Genomic DNA, 27794 nt, shown 5'->3' with positions numbered 1-27794 from the left:
AGAGATATAGAGGTGTAGAGAGAGAGAAAGAGAAAGGAATATATGTAGGCATATATCTATACATCTGTCTAGATCTAGATCTATATTACGAGCACAGTTGGATGGTTGAGGGATAGTTCTGTCTGGAGAGAGGAAGTTAAATTAAGTGACTCATTAGGGTTCCTTCCAGGTATTGAATTTTTGGAGTCTATGAGACCTCTTGATATAATATAAATTTCCAGGTAAAAATTAAATGAGAAGAATCTTATTGCTTTTGAAGATATGGTAAAGAAATAATATCAGATTAAAGCCAAGAAGAGTTTGATTAAGTGAACGATGATAATGTTTGCCTAATTACTGAATAGAACATGTAGATTTATGTCTTGTCTCTCCTGTGGTTATTGGAGCCACTGTTATGGAAAATGTTGGGAGACTAGGATGTGATCATTTATAAATAATAGACATTTGGAAATTTGACTGTGCTGGTCCCTCAGAAGACTCAGTTTCCATCACTTCAATATTTAGAGTTCAGACTCATATCAGACAGCTCTAATCTTCCTTTCTCACCTACATGGCAACCAGCTCTATTCGGACTCCTTCCAGCCTCCTGCAGGTGCAGGGTTATAGACTCTCTCTCAAGGCCATCCACATTAGGGTGGTCCCATGGCTACTTCAAGAGCTTTTCACATGCTGCACAGAGACTTCCCATGAAATCCCACTCTAAGCTTGTGTTTGCACAACTTGGATGAATCAATGAATTCATGCTTTCTGGGGCAACACTTTAATAAACAAACGTTCCTTCCTTTCTGTTTCTGGATAGACAGTTCTGAGAAGTATTTCTTAAGGATATTAGCCTACTTGCTAACCCATTTTGTATTGGCACTTCCTCTCTCCCTGCACTGTGCTCCCCACCCTCCTGTGGTAGGCAGCTCCAAAATGATCTCCAATGTCTGGGCTCATGATACTCATGCCCTTGAATAATTCCCTCCCTTCGAGTGTGGGCTGGACCTAGTAACCTCTTCTAAAGACAGAATACCATTCAGAAACACTGATGGAATGTCACTTCTGACAATAGGTTATAAAAGCACTGGCTTTCATCTTGCTCTCTCTCTCTCTCTGGAAGCCCTTGTTCTCAGGAAAGCAGTCTGCCATTTTGTGAGTATCCCTGAGAAGAGGCCCATATGGCAAGGAACTGATGCCATCAACAGAGTGAGAGTATGAACACTGCCAACATCCACATGAGTGAGGTGGGGAGCAGATGTCCCTGTCCAGCCTTGAGATGACTACGGCCCCAGCAGATACATGATTGCAGTCTTGTCACAGATCCCAAGTGAGAGGCTCTCAGCTAAGTGGCTCCTGGATTCCTGACCCACAGAAACTGTGAGATAATTACATGTGTGTTGTTTCAAGTGGCTAAGTTTTGGAATGTAATGTGGCATTTATCATGCAGTAATAGATAACTAATACACTCTACACCCTACCTCATCCCTACCCTTCACACCTGCCTGCTGGGATCACATTCCCCAGGAAAGTGCTCACAGGTAGGTTTTTTTTTTTTTTTGTCTTAGGGCATGTTTCTGAGAAACTTTGGCCAAAATATATTTTCTTCATGTTCTCTGGTAGTTACTTGTTGATAGCTCATTCTCAATGTTAGATGCAAGCCTCTTTTTAAGCATTTATTTGGCCTAGAAGACAGCAAATTTTTTTGATTTGCTCATTCCCCTCTTTTCTCAGCTCAGGATAACTTTCCTCAGGGGTGCTTTCGGCTGATGCTTCTGTACTGGTTTTCCTCATTTCTCCCTTAGGGGCCCTTACAAGTTTTGGGCATGCATCTGCATTTCCTACCCTCCCTGACTGCTATCTTCTCTCTCTTCACGTCCTCCTTTTGTATCATGAAATAGGTTCTCGTGTTGATTTTTCACATTTTCGATTCCGTTTTCAATTAAGTTATTTTCACTCCAGCTCCAGATGATAGTAACTTCTAGAGTTGTTAAAGATACCTTTTCTAAAAAATCTTCAGCTACTTCTTATTAAGTTTTATATTGCCCTTTGTTTTGGTTAAAAATCTATTTTTGCGATACAGGTGATTATGGTAATAGCCTAGAACACTGGGGAACTCAGGTGAGGAGCAAAGTAACTCAGAACCTGGGGTGCGGCGATGACCTGGGGACAATATGGAGAGAGTGGAGGGGGAGCTGCAGACTTGCTTTGATGACAAACGCAGCTACATTAGCATCAGCCTACATGTTTCCCTTGAGTTAACACCATGAGAAGTGCAAGCTGGAAAGATCATCTTATTTGTTGTCCTGAGGCTGTAGGTTGCCTTTCTGGGATGGCCTGTCTCCTTCAAAGCTATTCTTGACATTTATTTGAGTTGGGTTTCATTTATGTCAGAATATTTAGAGTGAGGCCACACTACCATGATTGATTTCAAGTTTCACCCTTCCCTAGGAATGACCTTGGAAATAAGCAAGGGATGTCTTCATTTCACATGTGGGAAAAACTGGTTCTCAAAGAAGTTAAGTAATTTATCCAAGATGGGAAATCTGGCGGAGTGGCGGGGCAGAGAACTTTTATAATCTTCTAATATTTGTAGAAATTATTTAACAGTTATGCTGTTTTAGAATCAGGTATTTATGAAAGTTTTTAAAGTTTAAGTGAGGACTGACATTCAGTGAAGTCCTCAATGTTTATCTTCCATATGCCCAGTCTTCCATTTCCACAGACTTTGGCGCCTTCCCTGTTTTTGCAACTCTCCCTACGTGTGATGTTTCAACCAAGGATCCCTTGTCAAAATCTGACTCAGCAAAGGAACTGAATCTATGCCCTCATACAAGAAAAGCATTTATGAATGCTTAATGTATTACTTCCCTTTAAAAATTATTACAAATAAATGAATCTCTAATTGTAGAATTTGGGGACTCCAAAAGCTGGGAAAAGGGTTGAAGAACTGAGGTGATGAGCAGAGAAAGAAGTTTTGAAAAACTTTCTTTTCCTGGGCCTTGTTGCTCACCATGTAACAACATCCTCTTACTTTTCCTGTGGTGGGAAAGTACCCTGTAGTACTAGCAAGGTGCACCCAGGTAGAGGACAACAGGAATAGTTATCCTACTTGCTCAGGCTTACATTTTTACACATGAAACATAGTTTCTTTTACATGTTTATTTACTTATTTGTTCTCAGGAAGACTGACAGCTGGGTGATGTGAAAGGGACATTATGTTCTGATATCCTTCAGATAGAGAAATCCTAAATTGCTGTTAATTTCTTGTGCATATTCAGCTGCTGGATTGCATACATCACATCACTAGCAACCTGTGCAGATTGGCCAAGGGATGGAGTATGTGGCATTGGGAACAGAGATTGTCCTTGGAGATTTCTGCTGTATTCCCTGCAACTTCAGGACCTTCTTGCTCTTGAAAGTTGCAGTTTCATATTGGCTGCTGGACCAGTCCTGTATGATGTGCCACTTATCAATAAAATGAATTGGTTTCTCCAGGGTGTGGTTATCTCATTATAGTTTTAATTTGCATTTCCCTGATAACTAATAATGTTGAACATTCTTTCCATATGCCATCTATATATCTTTTTATGCAAAACTTAAATATTTTATACATGTTTCTAAAACTGGTTTATTTTCTTATTGAATTGTAAGAGTTCTTTATGTATTCTGATATGTCCTATGTCAGACATATATATTATAGTCAATTTTTTTTTTTTTTTTTGAGACAGAGTCTCTCACTCTGTTGCTCAGGCACTAGTGTGATCATAGCTAGTGAGCTTCAAACTCCTGGGCTCAAGCAATTCTCCTGCCTCAGCCTCCCGAGCAGTGGAGACCACAGGTGCATGTGGCCACACCTGGCTAATTGTTTATTTTTTTTGTAGGGATGAGGTCTCAATATGTTGCCCAGATTGGTCTTGAACTCCTGACCTCAAACAATCCTCCTGCCTCAGCCTCCCAGGTTTCCTTACATACACACAAAAACGCTAAAACAACAACAACAACAAAAACCCTGTTCTCTGCCACCAAAGAATGGGGAAAAGAGTGGCCTAACAACAAAACACAATTTTTTTGGCAAATTCAAAATTTGCCAAACTCTGTTCAAACGCCAATGGAAAAATTGCAGCCTCCTCCTCTAGCCCACAAAGACAGACTTGAGTGCTATGATTCCTCCACTGAGTGGTATCAGCAGGGCTGAGGTGGAAGCTGATCGTTCCTTCTCTACCTAATGAAAGGGAAGGATGCTCTGATTCTCTTGGAAGTGAAGGGTGTTTGGACTCTCATGCCAGGGTACCATCTGCAGGGTCCTGTGCTAAAATGGGCCTCCATGCTCACCCAGAACCAACAAGAATTAACAAGGCAGTGTGAGGCAACTGTAGTCACCACTAGGTTGAAAGAGCTAGACAAATCCACAATTATAGTTGGAGACTTTAATACCCTACTTTCAGCAATTGATAGAATTATAAGACAAAATTATTTTGGCTATTCTAGTTCCTTTATATTTTCCCTATAAAATTTGCATCAGTTTTTTAATTTCTGCATAAATGTATACTAGGATTTTAATTGAGATTATGTTTATAGGCTAATTTAGGAAGAATTTAATTCTTAAGAACATTGAGTCTTTTGATCTATAAACTATTACATCTTTCCATTTATTTAGATCTTCTTTAATTTCTTTTAGGAATATTTTATAATTCTTATATGAGTCTTGCATATATTTTATTAAATTTATTTCTGAGTATTTCAAATTTAAAGTGACATTTTTTAGAATGAATATGCCTTTGTTTGTCCTTCATTTTGGAGGATATTTTTGCTGGGTAGAGAATTTGGGGCCAACAATTTTTGTTTGTTTGTTTCCACACCCTAAAGATATTGTTTCACTGTTTCTTTACCTCTGTTATTTCTGATCATAAGTCAAAATTAATTTGCATGATTGTTCCCCTGTAGGTAATGTGTCATTTCTTTGGCTCCTTTGAAGATTTTCTCCTTATCTGTGTTTTTTTTTAGCAGCATTAACATAGTCTTTTTTATATTGATTCTTCCCCAGTTTGCTGAGCATCCTCAATCTGTAAATATAGCAACATTTTTGGTCATAGTTATTCAAAAACTATGCTTTCTGCTATCTGTCTCTTTCTCTTCTTCTATAACTTCAGATGCTTTTATGATAGATCTTTTGTTATGGTGGTCTCAGAAGTCCTTGAAGCTCTGTTAATTTTTTTAAGTCTTTTGTCCTTTTCTTTGTGTTCTTCATATTGGATAATTTCTATTGATTAATATTCAGGCTCCCTGACTCTTTTCAATATGATCTCAATTCTAATGTTTAGCTCATCGAATATATTTTTAATTTCAGATATTATATTTATAAATTCTAGAATTTCTCATTAGTTCTTTGTTATACTTTCTGTTTCACTGCTATTCCTCTGCCCTTTCATTCATTATAAGCATATTTTCCTTTGCGTCATTCATCACAATTATTTTTATTTTTATTTTTCAACTTTTATTTTAGATTCAGAAGGTACACGTGCAGGTTTGTTACCTGGGCATATGGCATGATGCCGAGATTTGGGGTATGAATGATCCCATCACCCAGGTGCTGAGCATATTACCTAATAGTTTTTTACCCCTTCATCTCTCCCTCCTCTCTGTAGTAGTCCCCAGTTTCTATTGTTGCCATCTTTATTTCCATGAGTACCCAATGTTTAGCTCCCACTTATAAGTGAGAACATGTGGTATTTAGCGTGTAGTATTCTATGGTGTATATGTACCACATTTTCTTTAATTGATCAGAATTATAATACCTGCCTTAAAATTTCTTTTCTGATAATTCCAATATTTGGGTCATCTTGGAGTTTCTATCTCTTGATTGTCTTTTCTCCTGAAAATTGCTCACATTTTATTGTTTCTCTGTATTTTGAATGCTAGGAGTTGTATCCTGGACATTATGAATGTTTAATAGCGAAGACTCTAGATTTTGTTGTATTTCTTCAAATAGAGTTGTGATTTGGTTTTGTTTTGTTTAATGGGCAATTAACTTTGTTGTATTCAAATTTATGAATACAACAGACTATGAACTCTGTCTCTTGGACAGTAGCTCAAACTGCAGTTTAGTTCTTATAGCCTTTACTGGGTTGGATGCAGTCTGTCCATCTATGAATATTCACAGGCCAGGCAGACATTTGAAAAGCATGTACACACAAACTTTGTTGTTTCCCCTCTTTGATTCTTTCCTTTTTGGGATTCTCCCCTTACTTTCCATCAGCTGGGTTGCCCTGAACTCTGTACTCTGTTTCCTCAGTCCAGAAAGACTATGGATTTTCTCTCAAAATTTTAGTCACCCTATACCATGCTGGTTGCAGCCTGTCTTCAGACCAAAAGTCATAAGAAATAGAAAATTCACCCTGTGCCATTTCCTTCCTCTGGGTATCAACTCTTCTCCAGAATCGGCCTGCCTTTGTTCACACTCTAGTCCTTTAGATAATTATGTTGTTGTAATTATTGTTTGTTTTGTTTTTGTATTTTTTCTAGCTTATTGTTATTTGTAGAAGTGTTCATCTAGCAGGAACCAATTTAGTCAGACTAAAAGTGAAATACCAAATGGTATTGTTTTTAAAATGTTCTTTAAAAAATCTATTTTACTTTTTTTTTTGCTAATATATAGAATGATACTGGATTTTTGTGTAATGACCTTGTGTTCTATGTCACTGGTGAATTTACTTTCTAGTTCTAGTCACCTTTTTGTCTATTGTTAGTGTACTCTGTCTAAATAGCTGTTTTGTCTGTGGCAGTTTGATTTCTCCTTCTCCAATATATATGCCTTTCATTTCTTTTTCTTGCTGCAACATTCAGTACAGTGTTAAATTCAGTGGCAGTATCAGAGATTCTTCCCTTCTTCCTGACTAAAGGTGAAAACGTTTGGTCTTTCACCACTGAAAGTGAGTTAGTGTCGTTTCTCCATAGATGTTCTTTATCAGGATGTTCCCTTTTATTCCTAGGTTGCTGAAAGTTTTTTATTATAATTTTGTGTTTAATTTTCTCAAATGCTTTCTCTGTATTTTGTTTTTCTCTTTTAATTCATTAGTATGGTGAATTACATTGATTTTTGAATGTTAAAAAAATCCCTTTGATTCCTAGGATAAACTCTGCTTGTTCGTAATGCATTTGCCTTTCCATATATTGCTGATTCTGATTTGCTAAAATTTTGTTTAAGATTATTGTTCCATATTTCTAAGGGTTATTGATCTGTCCTTTCTTTTCCTGTAATGCTCTTGCTTGTTTTTTTCAGAATAATGGTAGGCTAATAAAATGATTGGGAAGTGTTTGCTCTGCTTCTATTTTCTGGATAAGTTTTTGTAGGAATGTTACTATATCCTCCATAAATGTTTGATAAACTATATCAGTGAAGCTGTTCGTACCTGGTATTTTCCTTGTGGAGATATTTTAAATTATGAATTTAATATCTTTAAAGGTATCCTCAGCCCTGTTTCTATTCTTTTGCACCAGTTTGGTAATTTATGTCTTTCAAGAAATTTTTGTATTTCATTTAATTTTCCAAATTTATTGGCACAAAGTTGTTCTTAATATTTCCCTGACCTTGTAAAGTCTGTGGGACTTTTAACAATGTCTTGTCTTTTATTTTGAAATGGGTCACTTGTCTCCTCTCCTTTCATCTTGAAGAGTATTGAACTTATATTATCCATAACAGACTTTTAGGAATGTTGGAAATATTGGGCCACACCCTAGAAGAGGGCATCACCTTGAGCTAGCAGTTTTCTGAGGCAAACGGCAAAGCTCAAAGAGGGACACAGCTGTGAGCTGTTAGCAGTTAACATTCCCAGCAACTGGGGGCTGTGTGCGTCGGCGCAGAAGAGGAGAGCTTGGCAGAGAACAGCATTATCCACTTTGTAAGGGAAAACACATTTTGAATGTGAGATAAAGTTTGAGCAAAAGCAGCGTATTAAATACAGAGATTTGCAGTGGCAATATGGAATTGGGCTTGGTGAGGGCCAGGGGGCAGATAAATAAATGTGGAAAGGGCCCCAAACAGTGCCGAGCAACCTGAGTTCCCTGGATCCGTAGGGGCCTAGGAAAATAGTTATGTGCATCCTAGAAACAAGGACAAGTCAGCTCAGCTAACGGTATCAACCTTATGTATTTATGTTGATTATCTCATGCTGATGGGCACTCAGACTAGTGAAAGTGGATATTTATTTTTGCTCAATAAATATGAAATATACTTCCTGGTTCCTGATCAAGAATGTAATTCAAATGTATTCTCAAATCTTCAGTCAAGAGCTGAATATTTATCTCTGGAAATGTAAATTTATTATTGTGTATTTTGGACAGTTTTTAAACAAAAAAAAATTCTCTCTTGGAAACAAAACCATCTTGCAAAGCTTTCTTTAATTGATAATCATTTGAGTGTCTACATGCACTAATAATATTTATTATTCACAAATTATCCAGACATGAATGTATTACATGAATGTAGTTTCTTTATCACCTCCCAAAATTCTGACTGTCATTCCAAGTGGAGACATGTAGGTCTTTTTTTATCCTTGTGTTTGCCAGCAGCAGAGTCTGTTTCTGATATTTAGAGGTTGTCCCTCCTTTCCTCTTTAATTACACAGGATTCCTACCCTTCTTGCCATGAGAATCTGTTTCCAAGAATATATCTGAAACTCAAAGAACAAATGCTGGCTATCAAGAGGGTTATCCCTTCCAGGTCAATTTGCAGGTTTATTAGGAATCAAAAGTCTAAACTATAGGAAAATGCAATTTTAATTAGCTGGTAAATTTAATTTCTTACAGATGCTCACAAGTCTGAATCCCAAGTCTCTTCAAAACTGTTGCATCTCCTTTACTGACTGGCAAAATTGCTCCAAAACCTCTGCCTTCTGGCTACTTCACCTCGGCTGGGCTGCCTTCAGAACTGCCACATGTAACAAACACTAAGCTCACCATCTTCTCTCTTCCCCATTCGCATCTTTCTCCTCCTCAATTCCTTAGTTCTGTCCATTCTCTGGCCAACCAAATTCAAGTCTCAGTGTTATCTTTGGCTTCCCTCTCTCCATTGCTTTTCATATTCAATCATTCATTCAGCTGTAATGATTCTATCATGAAATGACACTATAATTTTCTATTCATTTTCACGTGTACTGACAAATCTTTGGAGCACATGCTCATCACCAACACCCAGCTGCTGCCTTAACCTCCTGATCTCCTTTCTTAAAAGATTTCTGTTTTCCAGTTCTTCTTGCATGGTGACAAAATATTAATTTTCTAAATCATGTCATTCCCATGCTTTACATTCTATAATAATGTGCATTTCTTCACAATCCTCAATCTTCTGGTCCCAACCCACTTTCTAATCTTCTCTTTCTCTTTTTCTTCTTTATACATTCCACCCAGTTTTGTCCATTCTTCTAAACAGGTTGCATACTTTCCTATCTTTGGTCTTTCCTTGTACAAGAGTTTCTCCTCCAATATGACAGGAGGGCTCTACCGTTCACCGGTAAAAGATTTTTCCCAAGTTTTCAACCCTCAGCTGATCTCCTCCTTTCTCCATGAAAACTTTTCTGGTCACTGTGGCATAGAGGTCTCTTCCTCTCCTCTGAACATCTAGAACTCCCATTCTCTGTTGGTTTAGCACTAATTGCCTTACATTGTTAGTTTCCCTTTTTTTTTTTCTTTTTTGGTGTACAGGGTTAAAAATATACTAGACATTAACTGTGATCCTGTGTTCCCTTTCAACTGAAAACGAATCCCAGGCTGAGCAAATGGGAGAAGCTGAGAGAAGGGGAAATAACTCTGCCTAATAGGGGGCTGGTGGGCCTGGAGGGTAGACTGAGGAATCTTAGGAAAGAGGCCAGGGGCAGAGAGGAGGACAACCATGGCAAGCACAGGTGTACGGGTGGATTTGAAAGATTTGGAGATGGGGAAATTAAGGTCTGAGGGAGACATGGGGATTCTACAGTAAAGAGAGAAAACTGTGCTGTGCGTGGTGTGGCACAGTCTTCCCTTCACATCTCATGAGAGTCCTTCAGTGATGACTTATGTTACTTTTTACTGAAGATCATGTCAGATGTTTTCTCATTAAGACAGATTCTGTTTTTTGTGATATGACACTGTATGGAGATGGGCTTTCAGGTGAGAACAAGAAGGGCTAACTACACACACACACACCCCTTACACTTCTCAGTATTCCATGTGATGCCAAGCAGTACCACGAGTAGAAGGAGCTCGCCTGCTACCTTGGATGTTTGTCTCGGTGTTCTTGACCTTTGTACCCCTTTTCACCCAATTTCCATAGACCTGTCACGGTCTCCAGTGGTTCTCCTGAGATTCATGTGTTCTAGTGATGATGCAAGGAGATCAGTTAGGGTTTGGGAAGAAAATAAAATGAAAAAAACATACATGTACAGGCACATGTACACACAAAAAATTATCCTTTAAAATTAGCTTTTTGCGGGATATGTTTTACAATGTGCATGCAAGGTAGAATTGCCATATAATAAACACTGCTCCGCAATTACAGCACTAGAATTGTAAATATTCTTTGGAAGGATCTAATTCATGGATTTCCATACCTTGTTATATTTCAGAGAACTGGACACTTTAAAAATACAGATTCCTAGACTCCACCTCAGACCTACTGAATCTGCATTGGGTGATTGTTAGGGACAGGAATCTGAAGTGTAACAAGCTCCTTGGTTTATCCTGAAATAGCCCACTCGTGGCCTGCCTTTCATTGAAATCTAACTCCCTTATTTTCCTAAAGAGGAAAGGGAGGACCCTAGAAGTAAAGTGACTTTCTGAGGCCACAGCAGATGGGTAGCAAAGCCGAGACAGGACCATAGTCTTCTGTCTTCTAATTCCATGCTTGTTCCATCCCTATTTATGTAGTTGATTTTCAAACTCTGGGCAGAATTTTCTAGTATTTCCCAGACTCTTCCTTCTCCTATTCTATCACTCTGGACACTTCCCCAAGTTTTTTTTTTTAATCTGTGGAAAGATATCCAGTATGATGTCATTAATATTGTTGCTAGCAGAATCATGCAGAAATTGAGAAATTTCAAGCTGTAGCACAAATGGCTTGAGTTCCAGATGGAACTCAAAGGGAACAAATTTTAAGACTACTAAATCATACCAATTGTGATTGAAAAATACAAAAAGCATTCAAGCTTTCATAGATGAGAGAAACACAGATAAAGGACCTCTGATAAACCCTTTTGCAAGCATAGGTGAGTGAGAACATGGTGGTCCTAATAATTAAAACAGAATTTAGGGGAAGAAACAAGTTTAGGGAGTTTGCTGACATATTAGTTACCTCTTTCTGTGTAACAAATAACCTCAACATTTAGTGGCTTCAAACACTACACATTTGTTATCTCATTGTTTCTGTGTCACAAATGAGGCACTGCTTAGCTAGATGCCTCGGGCTGAACGTTTCTCACTGCTGAATCAAGGTGTTGGCTGGGGTTGCAGTCTCATCTGAAGACTCCCAAGCTTGCTTGTGTGATTGTTATCAATAGCAGAGTTCAGTTCATCAAGCGTGGTTTGGACTGTGGGCCTTAGTCCATCACTGTTGGCCGGAGGCCTCCATCAGTTTCTTGCATAGGGCCTCCCTGCAGGGCAGCTCACAACGTGACAGCTGGCTTCTATCAGCGTGGGCAGGCAGGAGGGCAAGAAAGGGCAAGCAAGACAGGCTCCTGCGTCTTTGTGTAACTTCATATTGGAGGTGACATCCCATGGCCTCTGCCATACTCTGTCTGTTAGAAGACAGTGACTAGGTCCAGGCCATGCTCAAGGGGAGGGGATTACCCCTGGGCATGAGTACCCAGAAGGGGGATCTTTGGAGGCCTTCGTAGAGGCTGCTACCACAGTTGAGTCTGAACGCCTGTGGGAGGACTAGGTGGAGGCATCCAGCAGGAACTTGGACATCTGAATTTGAAGCTCTAGGGAAATGTCTGGGCTGGAGATTCAGATTTGGGAGTTAGTAGTATGTTATGACCAAGGGGTGAAATCATGGGAATAGATCAAGTCAGCCAGGAAAAACATTTTTTTAGGTATCAAGTAATTACTGGTATGCACTAATTACTAACTTTTTAGAGAAAATTCAGATCTAGAGTGAAAACAAAAACAGATGTAGGAAAACAGAAAAGTCACTAACCAAAGCTACTTGTTACTCATAACTTAATCAAGATTTTCATATTTGCCATGAATATTTGGGTTAGGGCAGGTGGCATTTTCTGGTATCATTAGAATACTAAGATCCTGAAGAAAAAGTGCATTCTTTACAAAAATTATTTAAAATAGGTGACCAAATGAAATGTGGAAAGCCTCTGGATGGAGAAAAATAAGGTCTAGTTTGCCTTTCATCAGGTTTAAACCAGAGATCAGATGGATCTCAGTGTTTTCAACAAGTTTTGGGTTATGGATATTATTAACATTCATATAATATGATTAATCGTAGTCATTTAAAGACTGACTCCTACAGGCCATAATACCCCTTCTCTTCATAAACACATAGCCCAGGGTGTGTCACAGAAACCTTGGAGAGCTAGAAGTATGTCACCGTGAAGGATGGTGAAACACCCTGCATGTCCCCTTTGGCCCATAATCTTCCCTCCCTCTGTGCCTTGGACTCATGCTCATCACTTCCGCCTGGAATGTTCTCCCCATGTAGCCAAATCCTACCCTCCCTTCAAGGCGATCCTCAAATCTCATTTCTTCCATTAAGTCTTCTGACTGGACCACTCCACCCCACCCCACCCCACCTCTCTCCTCTGTGGATCCCTGTCTTGGTGCCAGCCACTTTGGAGAATCATGCCCAAGCCAGGTTCTGTGCTGGCCTTTTTCTTTAATTCCAGAAGTTGGTAAACTATGGCTGCACAGAGCAAATCTGTCCCCATGCCTTGTTTCTATATGGCCTGCAGGCTATGAATAGTTATTACACTTTTAAGTTGTTGAAAATGATCAAATGAAGAAGATTTCATTGCACATGAAAATTATATGAAATTCAAATTTCAGTGTCCATAGACAAATTTTTACTTTTGTCAGTAAAATGCATGTGGAAATTTGTTTTCTTTTGCCTTACGGTTCATGAAGCTTAAAGTATTTGTTAGCTGTCTATCACTTTATAGAAATTTGCTGACCTCTGCTATAAGCACTCATTTTCTCCCTCCTGAGAGAGAGCAGGCTGCAGGATGGGCACATTTTGGTGGCTTCTGTAGTGTCTCCCCTAGTCTGCAACACAAGGCTGGTGTTTGGTAACACTTGTTGAATGCAGCTAATAGAGAATGTTTTTAATTTGTGATGGATACGATGTTATGTCCTTTCCTGCTGTCCAGGCCTCCGCTTTATTCGCCTCTGCCGTTGGGCTGGTATCTGTTATGTCTGGTAGAAAAAATGACAGGGAATACCAGGGTGGGTCACAGAACTCACGGAAAACACAAGTGAAATGAAGTCTGGGAACCAGAGCTTTTGTTTTGGGTGGAGAGCAACTGTTTGCTTTGGGGGATTGAGGTAATGAAAGTGATTTCAATAACATAATTCAACAGTTGTACATGCTTTCTGCCAGAAAGATGGCTAGGCAGACCTCACCCAGGGACCCCATCCACAAAATGCAAAGGTTAAACACTCAAATGCTGAACAAATTCTCCTCCTTGTTGAGCAGAAGATAAAACTATACATCCACCAGGGTTACAACTATGTAAAATGCACCATATGGACAAAGACTAGAGGCAAAATGAGAAAACTAAAACAGGGTGGTTGGGATTATGAAAAAAATACTTTAAAAAATCTTTTATTTAAGTAGTTAAAATATTTCTAATAAATAAATTTTCTGAAGAATCATGAAAATGAAAACAATTCTCATTTTTTTTCTAGCATGTATAAATTTTTACCTTTTTAAAACTCTTTTTCACCTTTTGCCCTCACACCACTAGAATTTTATACTGAAGTGGGAATTGCTCAGGATTCTTAGTATAACACAGAAGCACAAACATATGCAAACTTTCCCTAAAACAAAGGTTTATTTATGTCATTTTAAACTGCTCTTTCTTAAGCCTGCATTATATTTTTATAGTTACAAAATTCTAAAATGGGAAGAACATTACTAACTTCCCTCTTAACACAGTGCCTGCACTAAGCAAAGGCTTAGTTCATGGTAATTGTTGCTGTAAGGACCTCCTGCAATGCTCTAGCCCTTGTGATTCTTAGGGGGCAGAAATGGCATCCCTACACCAGTGAAGCCTCAGCTTCCAGCACAGTGTTCAGCTTTTAATCAAAATTGGTTACACAAATAAATGAACTAAACAATCAAAAAAAAAAAAAAAAAGAAATGGCACATACATAGAGGTACTATCTATGCTAGCAATCAGGCAACTGAATTCCACCTTCAGCTCTTTAAAACTAAGATCCATTCATTCATATCCTCTCCCAAGTGGGAGTGATGGGACAACTGAGGCACAATGAGGCAATATGACACACCAAGGCTCTGTCAATTGCTGGAAAAGTTTAGGCCTTTCTTTAACCCAGAGAATGATGAGGAAGAATGGCATGAGGTTTTAAGGTTGCCATCACGTCACCATCTAGAAAAGAAGTTCATTCAACAAATATTTATGGAGCACCCGTTTTGTACAAGGAATTGTCCTATATTATGAGGGAACTAGAAGCTGAAGCAGAGAGGCAGAGACTTGTCCATGGCAGCTCTCTTGATCTCTTCATTTCCTGGAGTGATCTTGGTGATCCTGGAATCTTGCATGGATCTTGTAGCATGGAATAAATGAGGCTCTCAAGTAAGATGCAATAGATTCAGGCAGCAATGAAACTCAAGGGATGAAATCTTAGCTTCCCAGAAGACACAAGAGAAGTGTTGTGGATACTGGGAATGACTCCAGTTTGCATCAACCCTAGATCTTGACTGAGATTTTGTGGCCACGGATGAGGTAGCAGTGACGACATGAAAAGTTTCCTTGATTTGTCAAAGGCTTGGTTTTAATTACATCCACCTCTCCTCTTGATTTTATGAATTTGAGCAAGTTTCTTAACTCTTCTCAATGTGAGTTTCTTCATCTCTAAAATTGAGAAAAATTATTTTATATTATAAGGTTTCAATTATTTATCTATTCCTACGTAATAGACCACCCTAATAAATAAGCAGCTTAAAACAACAATGATATATGTATTCTATGGGTTAACTGGGCAGTTGGGCTGATCTGCTGGGCTCACATATGTGACTACATTTAGTTGGTAGCTCAGGAAGAGTCTTGATGTAGCTGAGAGAGTTGGGGCTGTCTCTCTCCACATTGTCTTTCATCCTGGACTTCTTGAAGGCCTATCCATCTCAGGGCAACATCTAATAGGGTAAAAGAGGAAGCTGCAAGATTTCTTAAGGCCTAGCTTTAGAAGTCATACAATGTTACTTCCATGATATTCTACTGGTAAAAGAAAAATAAAAAGCCAACTCAGATTCAAAGAGTTGAGAAATAGACGCTACTTCTTGATGGAAGAAGATAAGAAATATTGTGGCTATGTTTTTCAATCTACCAAAAGTTGTGGCAAAGATTAAATGTGGTTATGTATGTGAATGTATTATTTTTCTCTCTCTATATATAAATAGGTATGGTTTCTGGTAGCTGTGATATATGCATTACATTTTTATAACTACAAAATTCTACAATACTCACTAAAAGTCAGAAGCCAATTTTTGAAGATATAGTTGGTTGTATCATGAGTGATCTATTTGCCACCATCAATGGCAGGAACTGAGGCTACATGAAAGTCTAGTTAGCTTTTTGTGAAGTCATGATTTAGTTTGCAAAGGAAGACGTAGAAGCTGATTTTAGAGTATGCTTCTTCCAAGTAAAGCTTGAAAATGCTTTATTTCAGTAAGCTCTAAACATCTTGAGAGTTCTTGAGATGATGTAATGGACATCTGGATTTTTTTTTTTTCTCCTGACAAGCATTAATGCCCTTCAATTTTTGGTGCATGACCAAAATAGTGTTTTGCCCATCTTTTATAGATGAACCCTTTTCCCATGGCATGCAATCTTGTTGGGACTATCCATCAAGATACTCCATCATCCTTTGGCCAGGATTGTGCCCAAGTTCCCTAAATAGCTACGTCAAAAGGACCCTGTCCTTTGAATTTGAACTCCAAGAGGGGTGGCAAAAAGATGAAAATGGTTGGAATTGATTTACTCACATGACATCAGCCTGAAGAGGTTCTCTGCTTACCATTATCCCAGAACTGTACTACTCCCCATTTTATCACAAAGTCAAGTTCAATGAGCCATCTCATAACCTGATAATACTTAAAATATCTTTTTTTTTGCTGAAATTTTCCATAGCTAGTTTTCTTGCTTGTAGACAAAGAACCCTTGCTGACATAGATATTTATACAGGAGGTATAAAATGATGAGAGTGGCTTGAAGCTGAAAATGCCACAAGATTTCAATTGATCATCCTGGTTAACACGGTGAAACCCCATCTCTACTAAAAATACAAAAAAATTAGCCAGGCATGGTGGCAGGTGCCTGTATTCCCAGCTACTTGGGAGGCTGAGGCAGGAGAATGACGTGAATCCCAGAGGTGGAGCTTGCAGTGAGCCGAGATCGCGCCACTGCACTCCAGCCTGGGTGACAAAGCGAGACACTGTCTCAAAAAAAAAAAAAAAAAAAAGAAAGATTTCAATTGATCCAACAACAAACAAAGTATTTGTGTTTTGTCATAGTTTTCAGGACACTAGCAAGTTTCCTTGAATAAGGAATGCCACCTTGTCTTTAAGGATCTATCATACAGCTAGGGGGAGTAAGTACAATGGCTACAGAAAAAAAATATATATTTAGGTTGACGCCAAAGTAATTGCGGTTTTGCTAGTACTTTTAAATGGCAAAAACTGCAATTACTTTTGTGCCAACCTAATAGTTCACTATAGCAACAGAAGAAATATCCCTAATGTCCAGTGCCTGACATGGCACTTGGCATATAGTAGGCATACTATAATTATGTATTAACTATTAAGTGAATGATTCAGTTAATAAGTGCAATGATGTTAGAACAAGAGAGATGGGCATGAGCTAAAACACCTACGAACAAGAAGGAATCTGAGCAAGGTTTCTTAGGGTGAATAGAATTCTTTGAAATAAGGAGATGGAAGCAAGGAATTCTAGCCCATGGACTTAATTTGCAAACAGTGCAAAACAACCTATTACGAAAAAAAAAAAAAAAGTCTGTGATAGGTTTAAGGAGAGTTGGGTCCTCAATCATCTGGCATCAAGAAAATCTTATTGCAAAGACACAGATTTTTATTATTCGTTACTGAATTTTGTCATAAGTAGCATGCTACTCTAATACATGTTGATTGCCTAGATAGCGGGAATAGTTCTTGTATATTTAAAATGTATTTACTTTTAAGTAATCAAGTTCCCCCTGCTTCCCCTTCCCCTGTAATCTTCCACCATTGTGGTCAGAACATGAGACTTATTGCTCAAAGAGGGGAGTATATGGCTTGGAGCTGCCACCCAATATGAAGGAAGAATCTTTCCTTTATTGGAGAAAGAGGCCAATGAATAAAGAGGAGGTTGCCGGGGAAAGCAAAGGCCAGGTAAAAACGTTTAATCCAAATCCCTCCCTTGGAGGTGAAACCCTGGAAGGCAGTTTGAGTTAGAAATAATAGAAATGTCCAGAAATGTTGGAAGAGGGGACTTGCAGGGCACCAGGATTTGGCCTTTACTTCCTGGGCAGAAGCCTTAGAAAAGGCTTGTGTTTGGTTGCTGCTGACCAACATGTCACTGAGTGTAAGATTCTGAGAGAAAGGGCACAGCATGTCTTGCATGCTGCTGGAGTACAAGGAAAGCATGCAGTTTCCAGAGTCCCCTGTGGGTGCAGAGCAGCCCAGAAAACTGGTGGGCAGGACAAGGCCTTTCTGGATGTCCAACAGCCCTGCTTTCTCCTAATCCATGGTCCCTCTGCTCAGATCCTTTTCCCAGTGTGAATTACCTCCTTACCCCTCCCTACCCAGGGAGCTTTAAAAAATATCCATGTGAAGAATCCACTACAGACTACTCAAATCAGAAACTCTGGGTGTTGGGGCCTGGTGTCAGTGTCAGATTTTTTTTTTTTTTTTTTTTTTTTGAGGCAGAGTTTCACTCTGTTCTGCCCAGGCTGTAGTGCAGTGGCACAATCTCCTCTCACTGCAATCTCTACCTCTCAGGTTCAAGCGATTCTAGTGCCTCAGCCTCCTGAGTAGCAAGATTTACAGGCATGCACCACCACACCTGGCTAATTTTTGTATTTTTAGTAGAGACAGGGTTTCACAATGTTGGTCGGGCTGCTATTGAACTACTGGTCTAAAGTGATCCACCCGCCTTGGTCTCCCAAAGTGCTGGGATTACAGGCCCAGGCATGAGCCACCATGCCCATCCTGGTGTCAGAATTTTTTTAAAGCCTCTTATTATTTTACTGCATAGCCAGGGTTGAGAACTGCTATCCTAAGTAGAGTCTAGTTATGTTTTAGACTTAAGTTAAATATCACTTCCTCAGGGATCCCTTTCCTGATCAGCCCTAGCCTAGGTCAAGTCCCCTTGTTATATATCCTCCAAGCAAGCACCCAGTACTTATCCTGTTTGGCGCTTAACAATTGGTCCATTATTTGTTTCAAGTCTGCCTTTCCTTGTTGACTACCTGCTGTGTGAGGGGAGACACATTTCTGCCCTTTTCACTAAATTGTTGAAGTCAGTCGTGTTCAAATTGTTGAACCTGCCTTGTTAAAATTGTTGAAGTCTAGTTCAACAATGCACTAAGTAGTACACAGTTCGTGCTCAGTAAAAACATCTTGAATGAATGATCTCCTTTACTCAGCCAGGAGTGTGTGACCAAGGCTCTCATTCATGAATCTGCTAAGAGACCTTTTGCAGGTGAGACCTTAAAGTACACCACATACATACTTACAGGACTATGGCTTTAGATCAGCTCATAGTTCCCACAGTTTTTCTGTTTCATCTTCATGTATCACAGCAGTTCAGCATGTCCATCATCACCATTACAACCCTGTGTGGTGGACACTACAAGTCCCATCTTGTATTTGGAAAGAAGTTGAATAACTTGCCCAGGTCTCTCTACCCTACTGTCTGGGCCCCTTTACAAACGGTTACAAATAAGGAAAATCCCTTTCAACAAGATACATTCCCAGGGTACCTGTTTGTGCTGAGCTTTTATTATTGGCTTGACAGCAGGCTGGTGGCTGCTTGCAGGGGATCTTCTGGGGGTCTCCAGTTACAGCAGCCAGGACCCAGTGTGCGACTTCAGGCCTTCCTAAACTGTTACAGGGTGCAGGCATCATTGGGCATTATCCATATAAGGATGCCACAAATACTATACCTTTCAAAGCCACTAAATTCACTGTGCCGCGCATATCCTGGGGAGAGGCAGCTGTGTGTGGGGGAGGGCGAGGGGACCGGGAGGGTGTAAGTAGAGTCCTCCAGATGAACCCCAGTCTTAATCTGGGCTGGGCAAGAGGACCATCCCTTCACCGCTCCCATCCTACATCCTAGGTTCCAACATTTACAGGCCCCTGGGTTGGACACCGACTTAGAGAGAGCACCCTGGATTCAGGCCTGGGTGGCTTGAATTGAGCCTCAGAAGAGCCGCGTCTGGAGTGGGCTCTCGACACCCAGGGCAAGTGGGGGCGGCAGAGCCCTCTCCTCGGTCGGCACAGCAGCCTCTGCCGCGGTCCCGGCCTGCGACGCGCCCAGTCTTAGCCTCCCGGCCTCCGGCGTCTGCTGAGTGTCCGGCGGGAGAGGCGCAGGGAGCGCGCTACCGGGAGGCGCGGGCAGCGGGGACTGGTTTTCTCTCGGGCCAGGGCCTCCGGGGCAACCGTCTCCAGCGCGCATTCTTGGTGCAGGTGGAACAGCTTTCTGCTCCGGTAGGGCTTCACCTATCGCGGGAGAGGTTAATCTCGGATCTAAACCTCGCAGCCGCAGAGCGGGCTAAAACCGCTACTCCACCTCTTCCCATTTCTCCCCTCCCCACCTCAAGACAAAAAGTCCCAGGCCGGGCAGGACCTGATCACCTCTGCCTCCTCCCACTGCGCTAATCCTGCGAGCGAGAGGCCCCGCACCGAGGCGGAGGCTGGCAAAGGGGAGTGGAAAGGGAGGATGGATGGGGCCGGGGGGTGGGGTGGTGATGAGGGCGACGAAGGAGGGGGTGTCATTTTCTTTTTCTTTCTTTTTTTAAAAAAAGTATTTCTCTCGCGAGAAACCGCTGCGCGGACGATACTTGAAGAGGTGGGGAAAGGAGGGGGCTGCGGGAGCCGCGGCAGAGACTGTGGGTGCCACAAGCGGACAGGAGCCACAGCTGGGACAGCTGCGAGCGGAGCCGAGCAGTGGCTGTAGCGGCCACGACTGGGAGCAGCCGCCGCCGCCTCCTCGGGAGTCGGAGCCGCCGCTTCTCCAGTGGGTGCAGCCGGGGTCCCGACGGGGGTCGGGCGGCCACCGGGGCTGGAGCTGCGGCCACGGAGGCTTTTGCGTTTGCGCCGCGCCGAGGGCAGGGACAGGGACTGGGGTGAGGGGCTGTCCCGGAACGTCCACAGCTGGCGCTGGCCCTCCCCTGCCTGACAGCTTCCTGGCCCGGGGCTCTTGGTGCCGGGCTCCGCGTCAGATGTTCGGGGGGCGGTGGCATCGCCCGGAGTCGGCGGGGACGGCGCGGCTGGCTTCCAGCCTGGCGGAGAGGGCAGGCTGAGGAGTGGGGCGTTCAGAGCGCGCATCGCGCGCAATTCGTGCCGCTAAAAAAAATAAACCCAGAGAGCTCGCCCGGGGCTTAGGACCGCTGGGGATATGGGTACTTTGCGCCGCGCTCTTCTGGCGGGGCCCGGGAGGCCGAGGGATCGGCCGGGGCTGCTGCCGCCGGGGGCCTGGGCTTTCCAGCCAGCTGTGGACCAAACGGTCTTCCCTTACCCAAATTAACTGCGCCACGCGCAGGCGGCGCACGGGTTGGGCTTGGGAATGGGGACCGCGAGGCTTCAGCATCCCGATGCCCTGAAAGTCTCCCCGCCTCGGGGATTTGTCTCTGTGTTGCAGCTGGCAGGGGCCGCCTGAAGTGGGAGCAGCGCCTGGAGAAGGCGGGAGGAGCCCGGCCCGGGGGACGGGCGGCGGGATAGCGGGACCCCGGCGGCGCGGTGCGCTTCAGGGCGCAGCGGCGGCCGCAGACCGAGCCCCGGGCGCGGCAAGAGGCGGCGGGAGCCGGTGGCGGCTCGGCATCATGCGTCGAGGGCGTCTGCTGGAGATCGCCCTGGGATTTACCGTGCTTTTAGCGTCCTACACGAGCCATGGGGCGGACGCCAATTTGGAGGCTGGGAACGTGAAGGAAACCAGAGCCAGTCGGGCCAAGAGAAGAGGCGGTGGAGGACACGACGCGCTTAAAGGGTAAAGGAACCGGTTCCCTCCTTTGGTGTGGGTCTCCCAAGTTTCAAGATCCAGAACAACGGGCAGGATGACTCTCCCTGTGGAAGACTCCTTGGCAAGACCTCCTGGGGGCACCTTAGAGGTGCTAGGGTTGTTTAGTCCCCACCCCGTTCGTGGTTAAACTACCTTGCCCCTACTCCCAGAGATTTCTGCCCCAAAGGAGAGGACGTGGTTAAATGGAATCTTGGGCCATTGTTGAGGCAGATTTTGGGAGGCGAGAAGAGTTCCTTGGGGAAGAAGGGGAGGAGTTGCGAGTGGGATAAGAGGAGAAGCCCGTTCCTTTCCCTGCAATATCAATTCTGGTTGTTTCTAGAGGAAAGTACTTTCCTTGGGGTCATCTTGGTAGATGCTGTATTTGAAAGGGGGCAAGGAAAGGAAGGGATTCCCATGACAGTCAGAGGAGAAATCACACAGTAGTTGACTCTTCCGTAAATTATGCTTATTAAAATTACGGATTGGGTTTTCTGGGCAATGCTTCCTTTAGATGTCTACATTGGAAGCAGAACAGGGCAAGTGGTTCTGAGAACTGGTTTTTTGAGTTGTGTGGGGCTCTCCGTTTCACTGCAGCAGTAAGGCTGCTGTGGCCGGCCTTAAGGGAGTATTTTTAACTAGTGGTGTTTGTGTTGTGTACATGCAACTGACCATTTCACTGGCTTCCCATGCCGCTGTTACAGATGTTTCAGCCGGAAAAATTTTAATTAGACTTGACTAAGGGTTGTCATTTTCCTGTATTGAAGGACAGTGGGAATACATTTCCTTTAAGAGAAATTTGTCTGCAGTTGTTTAAGTTAAAGCCTCCATGGAAACAACAGGATGGACTGTCAGTGACCCCTTTTATCTTCTTGGAGGAGCCTGTTAAATAAATTCAGACAGTATATATAGGGAGATTTTGTATTAAATTCTTACCATTCTCGCTGATGCTCTTTTCCTGAGTGGTTCTGTAGCTTTATTATATAGCTCTGGGTCACCAAGTGATGGTATCCACTTGGATATGTGGCTGTTCATTTCACTTACTCTTTTTTTGTTATGAGGTGTTATAGTCATGTATATGTAGTAAAATTTGTGTTTGTATGGCCCAGATATGAGAAGAAAAAGTAAACTCACCAGACCAGTTTTTGACTCCTAGTCTGGAGTAAGGACAAGATGATTGTATGAGCCAAGCACTTAGGCTGTGATAAAATAGCACAGAAAATAGTTATGATTAATTCGGTTCCATCTTGGCCTTCGTGGAAAATAAACCCAGAATTCCGATAATGTTGGAAGGAAGTTTGCTTATCATGGTAAACCTGACCTTGATCAGACAGCAGATGTTTATTGCCCTGTGTGCAAGGCACATGGCAAGTTCAATAAGTAGACTGAGGCTCTGATTTTCATATGTTCTCAAGAGGACCTCATTTAGTCCAGTATTTTTCCTTCAAAAATACATTTCTCCTACATAATAATATCTTAATATCTATTCTGATAGGATTGCTCCTGTATATAAAGGACGTGGGGATTTAATTCTGTGGCTGAAGATCTGCAGAGAGGTGTGAGGCCTGGTCAGACATTTGTCTCATTTCTCTGGGCTGTCACCAACTAGTGTGTTCCCTTGGGAATGTGAAAAAAGAAACTAAGCTTTACTTTGTTGCTTAACAGGATGCCACACTTTTACTCACACTTGTGCTTTTTCTCTCTGGTTTTAAATTTGTTTGTGATTATAGAGAGATACCTCTCTGTGCTCCTCACAGTATTTGATCATTAACACAGACCTTATCCTATTGTAAACTATTTATAAAGCCTTCCTAAAAACAGGGTATTAATAGAATTGTAATTATGTGTGTTCCTAATTCTCATGTTAATTATAAGATTTTATAATAAGTGATATATATATATACACACACACACACACACACACATACACGGGGGTGAAAATAATAATTTAAAAATATATACAATTAAAAGTATTTCCCTGCCACCTTTCAGAGACCATTTTCTTGTGTATTTTTCTATAAATCTTTTAGGCATATGTATACATGTACAAATAAACACAAATATATATGTATACATACACATGTGTGTGTGTATCCTTTTTAATACATGGAATGTATTGTACATGCAATATTCTGAACTTTACTTACTTTTTATGTATCTTTAATGCATCCATCTATTAACTCATATGGATCTACCTCATTCATTTTCTTTCTTTTTTTTTGAGACACAGTCTTGCTCTGTTGCCCAGGCTGGAGTGTAGTGGTGCAATCTTGGCTTACTGCCTCCACCTTCCCGGCTCAAGCGATTCTCCTGCCTCAGCCTCCAGAGTAGCTGGGATTACAGGTGGGTGCCACCAAGCCCGGCTAATTTTTTGTATTTTTAGTAGAGATGGGGTTTCGCCATGTTGGCCAGGATGGTCTCAAACTCTTGGCCTCAAGCGATCCACCCACCTCTGCCTCTCCAAATTACAGGCTTGAGCCACTGCGCCCTACCCCATTTTCTTGTTGTATAGAACCTCATTATGTCACTGGAACAGTTCCCTAGTGATGGCTCTTTAGATTACATTGAGTCTTTTGCTATTACCAACTTTCTTCTGCATACCTGTGTTTACATACACGTGTTTATATGTGGTATAAATTAGTAAAAATAGAATTGCTGGATCAAAGTCTTTCCCATAGATTTTAAGCAAACCCCAATTCTTATGTTAAATTTGAATAACATTTTAAATTTATTCCCTCTGCTTATTGCCGTTACAGTCTCATATGAATAAATCCTTTAACGGTGCCCTGCTGTATAAATCATCAGAAAAAGCAGTTATGTACTACATTTTTCCAGTTATTGCTTAAAATTTCTGTTTTTGTCTGTTAAAATATTACCGGCTTCAAAACTCACCTCTTTGACTACAGTGAAACCTGTTTACCATTCTGATTGGAGATGCACAGTTTATGAAGTGAAAGTGATTTGTAACCCCCGAGTCTGCCTGATGCCCAGTTGGTGGCAGCAACTTTCAGCACCTCACTAATCTTTCCTCTAGTTAAAAGGTACCTTAAACTCATCAGTATCTGCTGTGCACTGGTTCCTTCTCCCCAGCAAATACTGCCTTCTTGTTTTTCTCTGATGTGGCAGGTGACTACAAAATCCGCCTTGGTATTCTTCAAATGCATATATATTCCTTTCTTGTCAGCTCCCTCTCTTCCTAGATTAGAAAACTGCCTCATTTTCTGCTCACTGGATGTGCAGTCCCAGCTTGTCTTCCTCTCCTCCCCCCCTGTTGCAGGTGTTCTTTTTTTTTTTTATTCTCTCCCCACTGGGCAGCAAAAGTTGTTCCACAGTGGAAATTTAGGCATCCTCAAGTTTCTTCCCAGCTTCTGCTGTGTTTTCTTAGAGTAAATTGCCAATTTCTGTTTTTACAGGAAATCCTTTTTTAAAAATGGAATCAGTGTGGTCCCCATCTACTCTGCAAAAATTGCATTTTTCTCTATTTTCAAATGAGATTTGTTCAAGTTTCAAAACCACGTGAAATAATAAATGTATAGTAGTTTTCTTTTCCTTGGGCATTGCTTGATATGTGAAATGGGTTTATGAAAAATAATAAAATCATAACGCTATTTGTTTGACTTTCAATTCATGGGAATTTTTCTCAGCTAAACTCTAAATGGTGATTAGGCAAAAAGTGTGGGAGACAGTCCAAAAAAAAAAAACTCAACTGTACTTGAATAGCAATAGTTATGCACCATTTATTTATGATTGCCTTATTGCTTTAGCTCCCAAGTAAGGAAATATTACTGTTTCCTGTCAAAGGGGGAAAAGTTCTTCACAGTGAGATCTCCTTTCCCAAACCTTGGAGAAGATGGATTGAGACTTCTGCCCTTGTTGTGTGGTTTATAGGTACATGAGACCAGTTGTATTTGACACAATTTGTCCCCTTGTGTGTGATTCCTTTTGGTCTTTGTTTATTTGTTTATTTTTTTCCAGAGGTCTTGTTGCCAGAAAAATACACATGGAACAGTTCATACCCATGGTAGATTATGTGATGGCAAACTCCAAGGGATTAGTTATGTAGAAGTCTGTTATTAAAATAAAGAACTGTAATAGGGAATACAGAAAAAGTTCTGTAGACTTTATAAAGTCCATTTTACTTTATAAAGGGGACTTTAAGACTTCACCTGAAGTCAGATGGGCTAATAATTAAATATGGGGAAAGACTCCTGCAGGGGTATGGTTTACATTTATTGAAAAGATTAAGCTAAAATATTGGGACACAATTTTTTTTTAAAAAAGGATATAGTGTTCTTAAATAGAAGATTTCAGCAATTCCACACATGAAACAAGAAGGTAGAGACAAAATATTTATTTATGTGACTCATTTTGTAACATTGAAGACATAGAGGTTGTTTATAAAAATGTGTAAGTTGGTAATACAAATTAATTAAAACATACATCAGCCTATGGTGAAATGAGATGAGAGCTGATGGAAATGGAGTACAGACTTCCCTTCAACCTTATTTGGAATTTTAAAGAATATTAAAATGTTCCTTTATCGTCTTGTGTAGCATATACTTTAAAAATTATAGTATTATACTGATGACTCTAATCAAGCAAAATACTAAAAAATTATTAGAGTATTCATGTACCAGTTTGTTGGCTTTTTCTTCCAGTAAGCCAATCAGCCTAACCACTTTGGGAGTTTTAGCTTTATTTTCAATGTGAAAATAAGATTTTACAAATGTTTTCTTGAAAGAGAAATACATTCTTTTAACAATTTCTTTGTTTTTAAACATGAACCCAGCAAATGGGCCTGCTTAAGCAACTTAGAATTTTTTCCCATGAGATTCTTTGAAGAAACCGACATCAATAATATATCAGGCCTGAGTTATGTGGCCTAACTCAGGCACATGATAGTTTAGCGTTTCATGATTGTTCAAGTCGATTTTCTCATTAGATAGTTAAATCATTGAAGACAAGAATCCTATTATAAGCATTTTACCACTAACTCATCATTAAGTGGGGTTTCAGAAAGTTCATTAATTCAGGAAGTCTTGATTGAATGCTAGCTTGAGTTTAGTTCTGTGGAAGGCCAGAGACATATACCCCATAACCCTGGGGGTACTTCAGGAACCGTGAGTGCACAGAAGGACAGCGTCCCTGGAAAGGGGGTCTGGTATTAAGTCTAAACAAATACATAATAACAATTGCAGCCATGGTAGGTAACATTTAGGTAACATCTATATGTTACTAAGCACTATATGTTGCTAAGCACTGTTCTTACTGTTTTGCATATGATAATTCATTGAATCCTCATAGCCACTCTACAAGCTGGGTGCTTTCATAAGCTTCCCTTCACAGATGTGAGAGCCGAGGTATGCAGAGGTTAAGTTCTAAAGACAAAACTTAACGTTAACTTTTCTTTCTCCATTAATTTTAGTTATGGTTTTGGTTTTTCATTCCACCAGACAAAAATGCAGGCCCAAGACATTGGTAAAATTCCACTTAAAATTCCTAATATTCTTTCATGCTAGTTCACAAATCCTAAGTATGGTTAATCACACAGTATTATTTAGTCCAACAAGAAACTTTCTGCAAAGACATTAATAAAACAGAAAGAATCATAGGATGTTAGAGCCAGTGGGACTTTGGACAGCGTATTATATTTTAATATTAGACCTTGACTTGTGTGAGGGTGGTAGGTAACCATTGCAGGCAGCCTGCTGGGCGTTGTGTGGGCTTCTGAGCTGGAGGCATTGCTGTTTATGTTGTTCAGAACCCTCTTGCTGTCATGTCCCCTGTGAGAAATCTCTCTGAATAGGGTTGCAAGAAGTATTTCTCTTTCCAGTGGAAATTGGTATGTGTCTTAAATCACGACCAGTCATATGAGTTATTTAATTATTTCTTTTTCATTTTTTAACCTTGGTTGCCTGTAAACTCAGCCCAATTTTTTACATTAAATTGCAGCCATAATGGTAAAAAAAAAAAAAAAAAGCTCTGATGTATCACTTATGATTGTACTTTGCAAATACTAATTCCTTTAAAACATAAATCCTTTATGAGGAAAATTAAGCTTATTTATTCATTTAACAAATGAAGAAACAAGGGATGCAGAGTTTCAGTAATTACTCCAGGGACATAAACTAGTAAGTGGTAGAGTTGGAAAATCTAGCTTCATAGCTGGAGCTCTTAATCTTAATATTTTACTGCTTTACAGTTATAATAAATCTTGTAGCTGGTAAATTTTTTTCTTTCATACCTTTTATACCTTCGTTTCCCAAGAATCTTCTCCCACCATTGCTATGTGGAAAGACTCAACATTTATTGATGGCAGATGCTGTTACAAGCCAAGGGAAGCATCATTGTGGGAATGGGATTGATCAGAAGTGACTTTAC

The 27794-nt window shown here is 40.8% G+C and overlaps 1 protein-coding gene and 1 long non-coding RNA gene across 6 annotated transcripts in view, besides 6 other annotated features; one reads left to right on the top strand and one right to left on the bottom strand.

Moving 5' to 3' along the window:
* Positions 1-13749: 13749 nt before the first annotated feature.
* Positions 13750-20205, bottom strand: FBN1-DT (FBN1 divergent transcript). 2 transcript variants are annotated; one of them, NR_183871.1, is made up of 2 exons: positions 18934-20205; positions 13750-15056 (listed from the first exon to the last, which is right to left on the bottom strand). It is a non-coding gene; the product is annotated as an FBN1 divergent transcript (long non-coding RNA). The 2 variants fall into 2 exon arrangements; NR_183872.1 differs by having other exon boundaries at positions 19180-20205.
* Positions 19739-20263: an enhancer, noted in NCBI's record as "H3K4me1 hESC enhancer chr15:48937944-48938468 (GRCh37/hg19 assembly coordinates)". NCBI's record gives its function as "activates a minimal SCP1, AML or CMV promoter by ChIP-STARR-seq in primed H9 embryonic stem cells {active_cell/tissue: H9 hESC(primed)}" and the evidence as "EXISTENCE:reporter gene assay evidence [ECO:0000049][PMID:30033119]".
* Positions 20137-20226: an enhancer, noted in NCBI's record as "active region_9376". NCBI's record gives its function as "activates an Ori minimal core promoter by ATAC-STARR-seq in GM12878 lymphoblastoid cells {active_cell/tissue: GM12878}" and the evidence as "EXISTENCE:reporter gene assay evidence [ECO:0000049][PMID:35858748]".
* The window catches only part of FBN1 (fibrillin 1), a 237397-nt gene continuing 229903 nt past the window's right edge, over positions 20301-27794 (top strand). For 2 of the 4 annotated variants that reach the window (NM_000138.5, NM_001406717.1), the window contains exons 1-2: positions 20301-20435; positions 21060-21404. In NM_000138.5, coding sequence (NP_000129.3) covers positions 21241-21404 — 164 coding nt within the window. In that variant the 5' untranslated portion in view covers positions 20301-20435; positions 21060-21240. Of the gene's footprint in view, positions 20436-21039; positions 21405-22908; positions 24963-27794 lie in introns of those variants that run through there. The other 2 variants (NM_001406718.1, NM_001406716.1) reach the window with 2 other exon arrangements.
* Positions 20337-20416: a silencer, noted in NCBI's record as "silent region_6420". NCBI's record gives its function as "represses an Ori minimal core promoter by ATAC-STARR-seq in GM12878 lymphoblastoid cells {active_cell/tissue: GM12878}" and the evidence as "EXISTENCE:reporter gene assay evidence [ECO:0000049][PMID:35858748]".
* Positions 20457-20636: a silencer, noted in NCBI's record as "silent region_6419". NCBI's record gives its function as "represses an Ori minimal core promoter by ATAC-STARR-seq in GM12878 lymphoblastoid cells {active_cell/tissue: GM12878}" and the evidence as "EXISTENCE:reporter gene assay evidence [ECO:0000049][PMID:35858748]".
* Positions 21047-21176: a silencer, noted in NCBI's record as "silent region_6418". NCBI's record gives its function as "represses an Ori minimal core promoter by ATAC-STARR-seq in GM12878 lymphoblastoid cells {active_cell/tissue: GM12878}" and the evidence as "EXISTENCE:reporter gene assay evidence [ECO:0000049][PMID:35858748]".
* Positions 21277-21326: a silencer, noted in NCBI's record as "silent region_6417". NCBI's record gives its function as "represses an Ori minimal core promoter by ATAC-STARR-seq in GM12878 lymphoblastoid cells {active_cell/tissue: GM12878}" and the evidence as "EXISTENCE:reporter gene assay evidence [ECO:0000049][PMID:35858748]".

This window comes from Homo sapiens, chromosome 15 (genome assembly GCF_000001405.40).
Source record: "Homo sapiens chromosome 15, GRCh38.p14 Primary Assembly".
NCBI classification, from domain to species: domain Eukaryota; kingdom Metazoa; phylum Chordata; class Mammalia; order Primates; family Hominidae; genus Homo; species Homo sapiens.
Note: the sequence above shows the minus strand (reverse complement) of the source record. Positions and strands in the feature narration are given on the sequence as shown.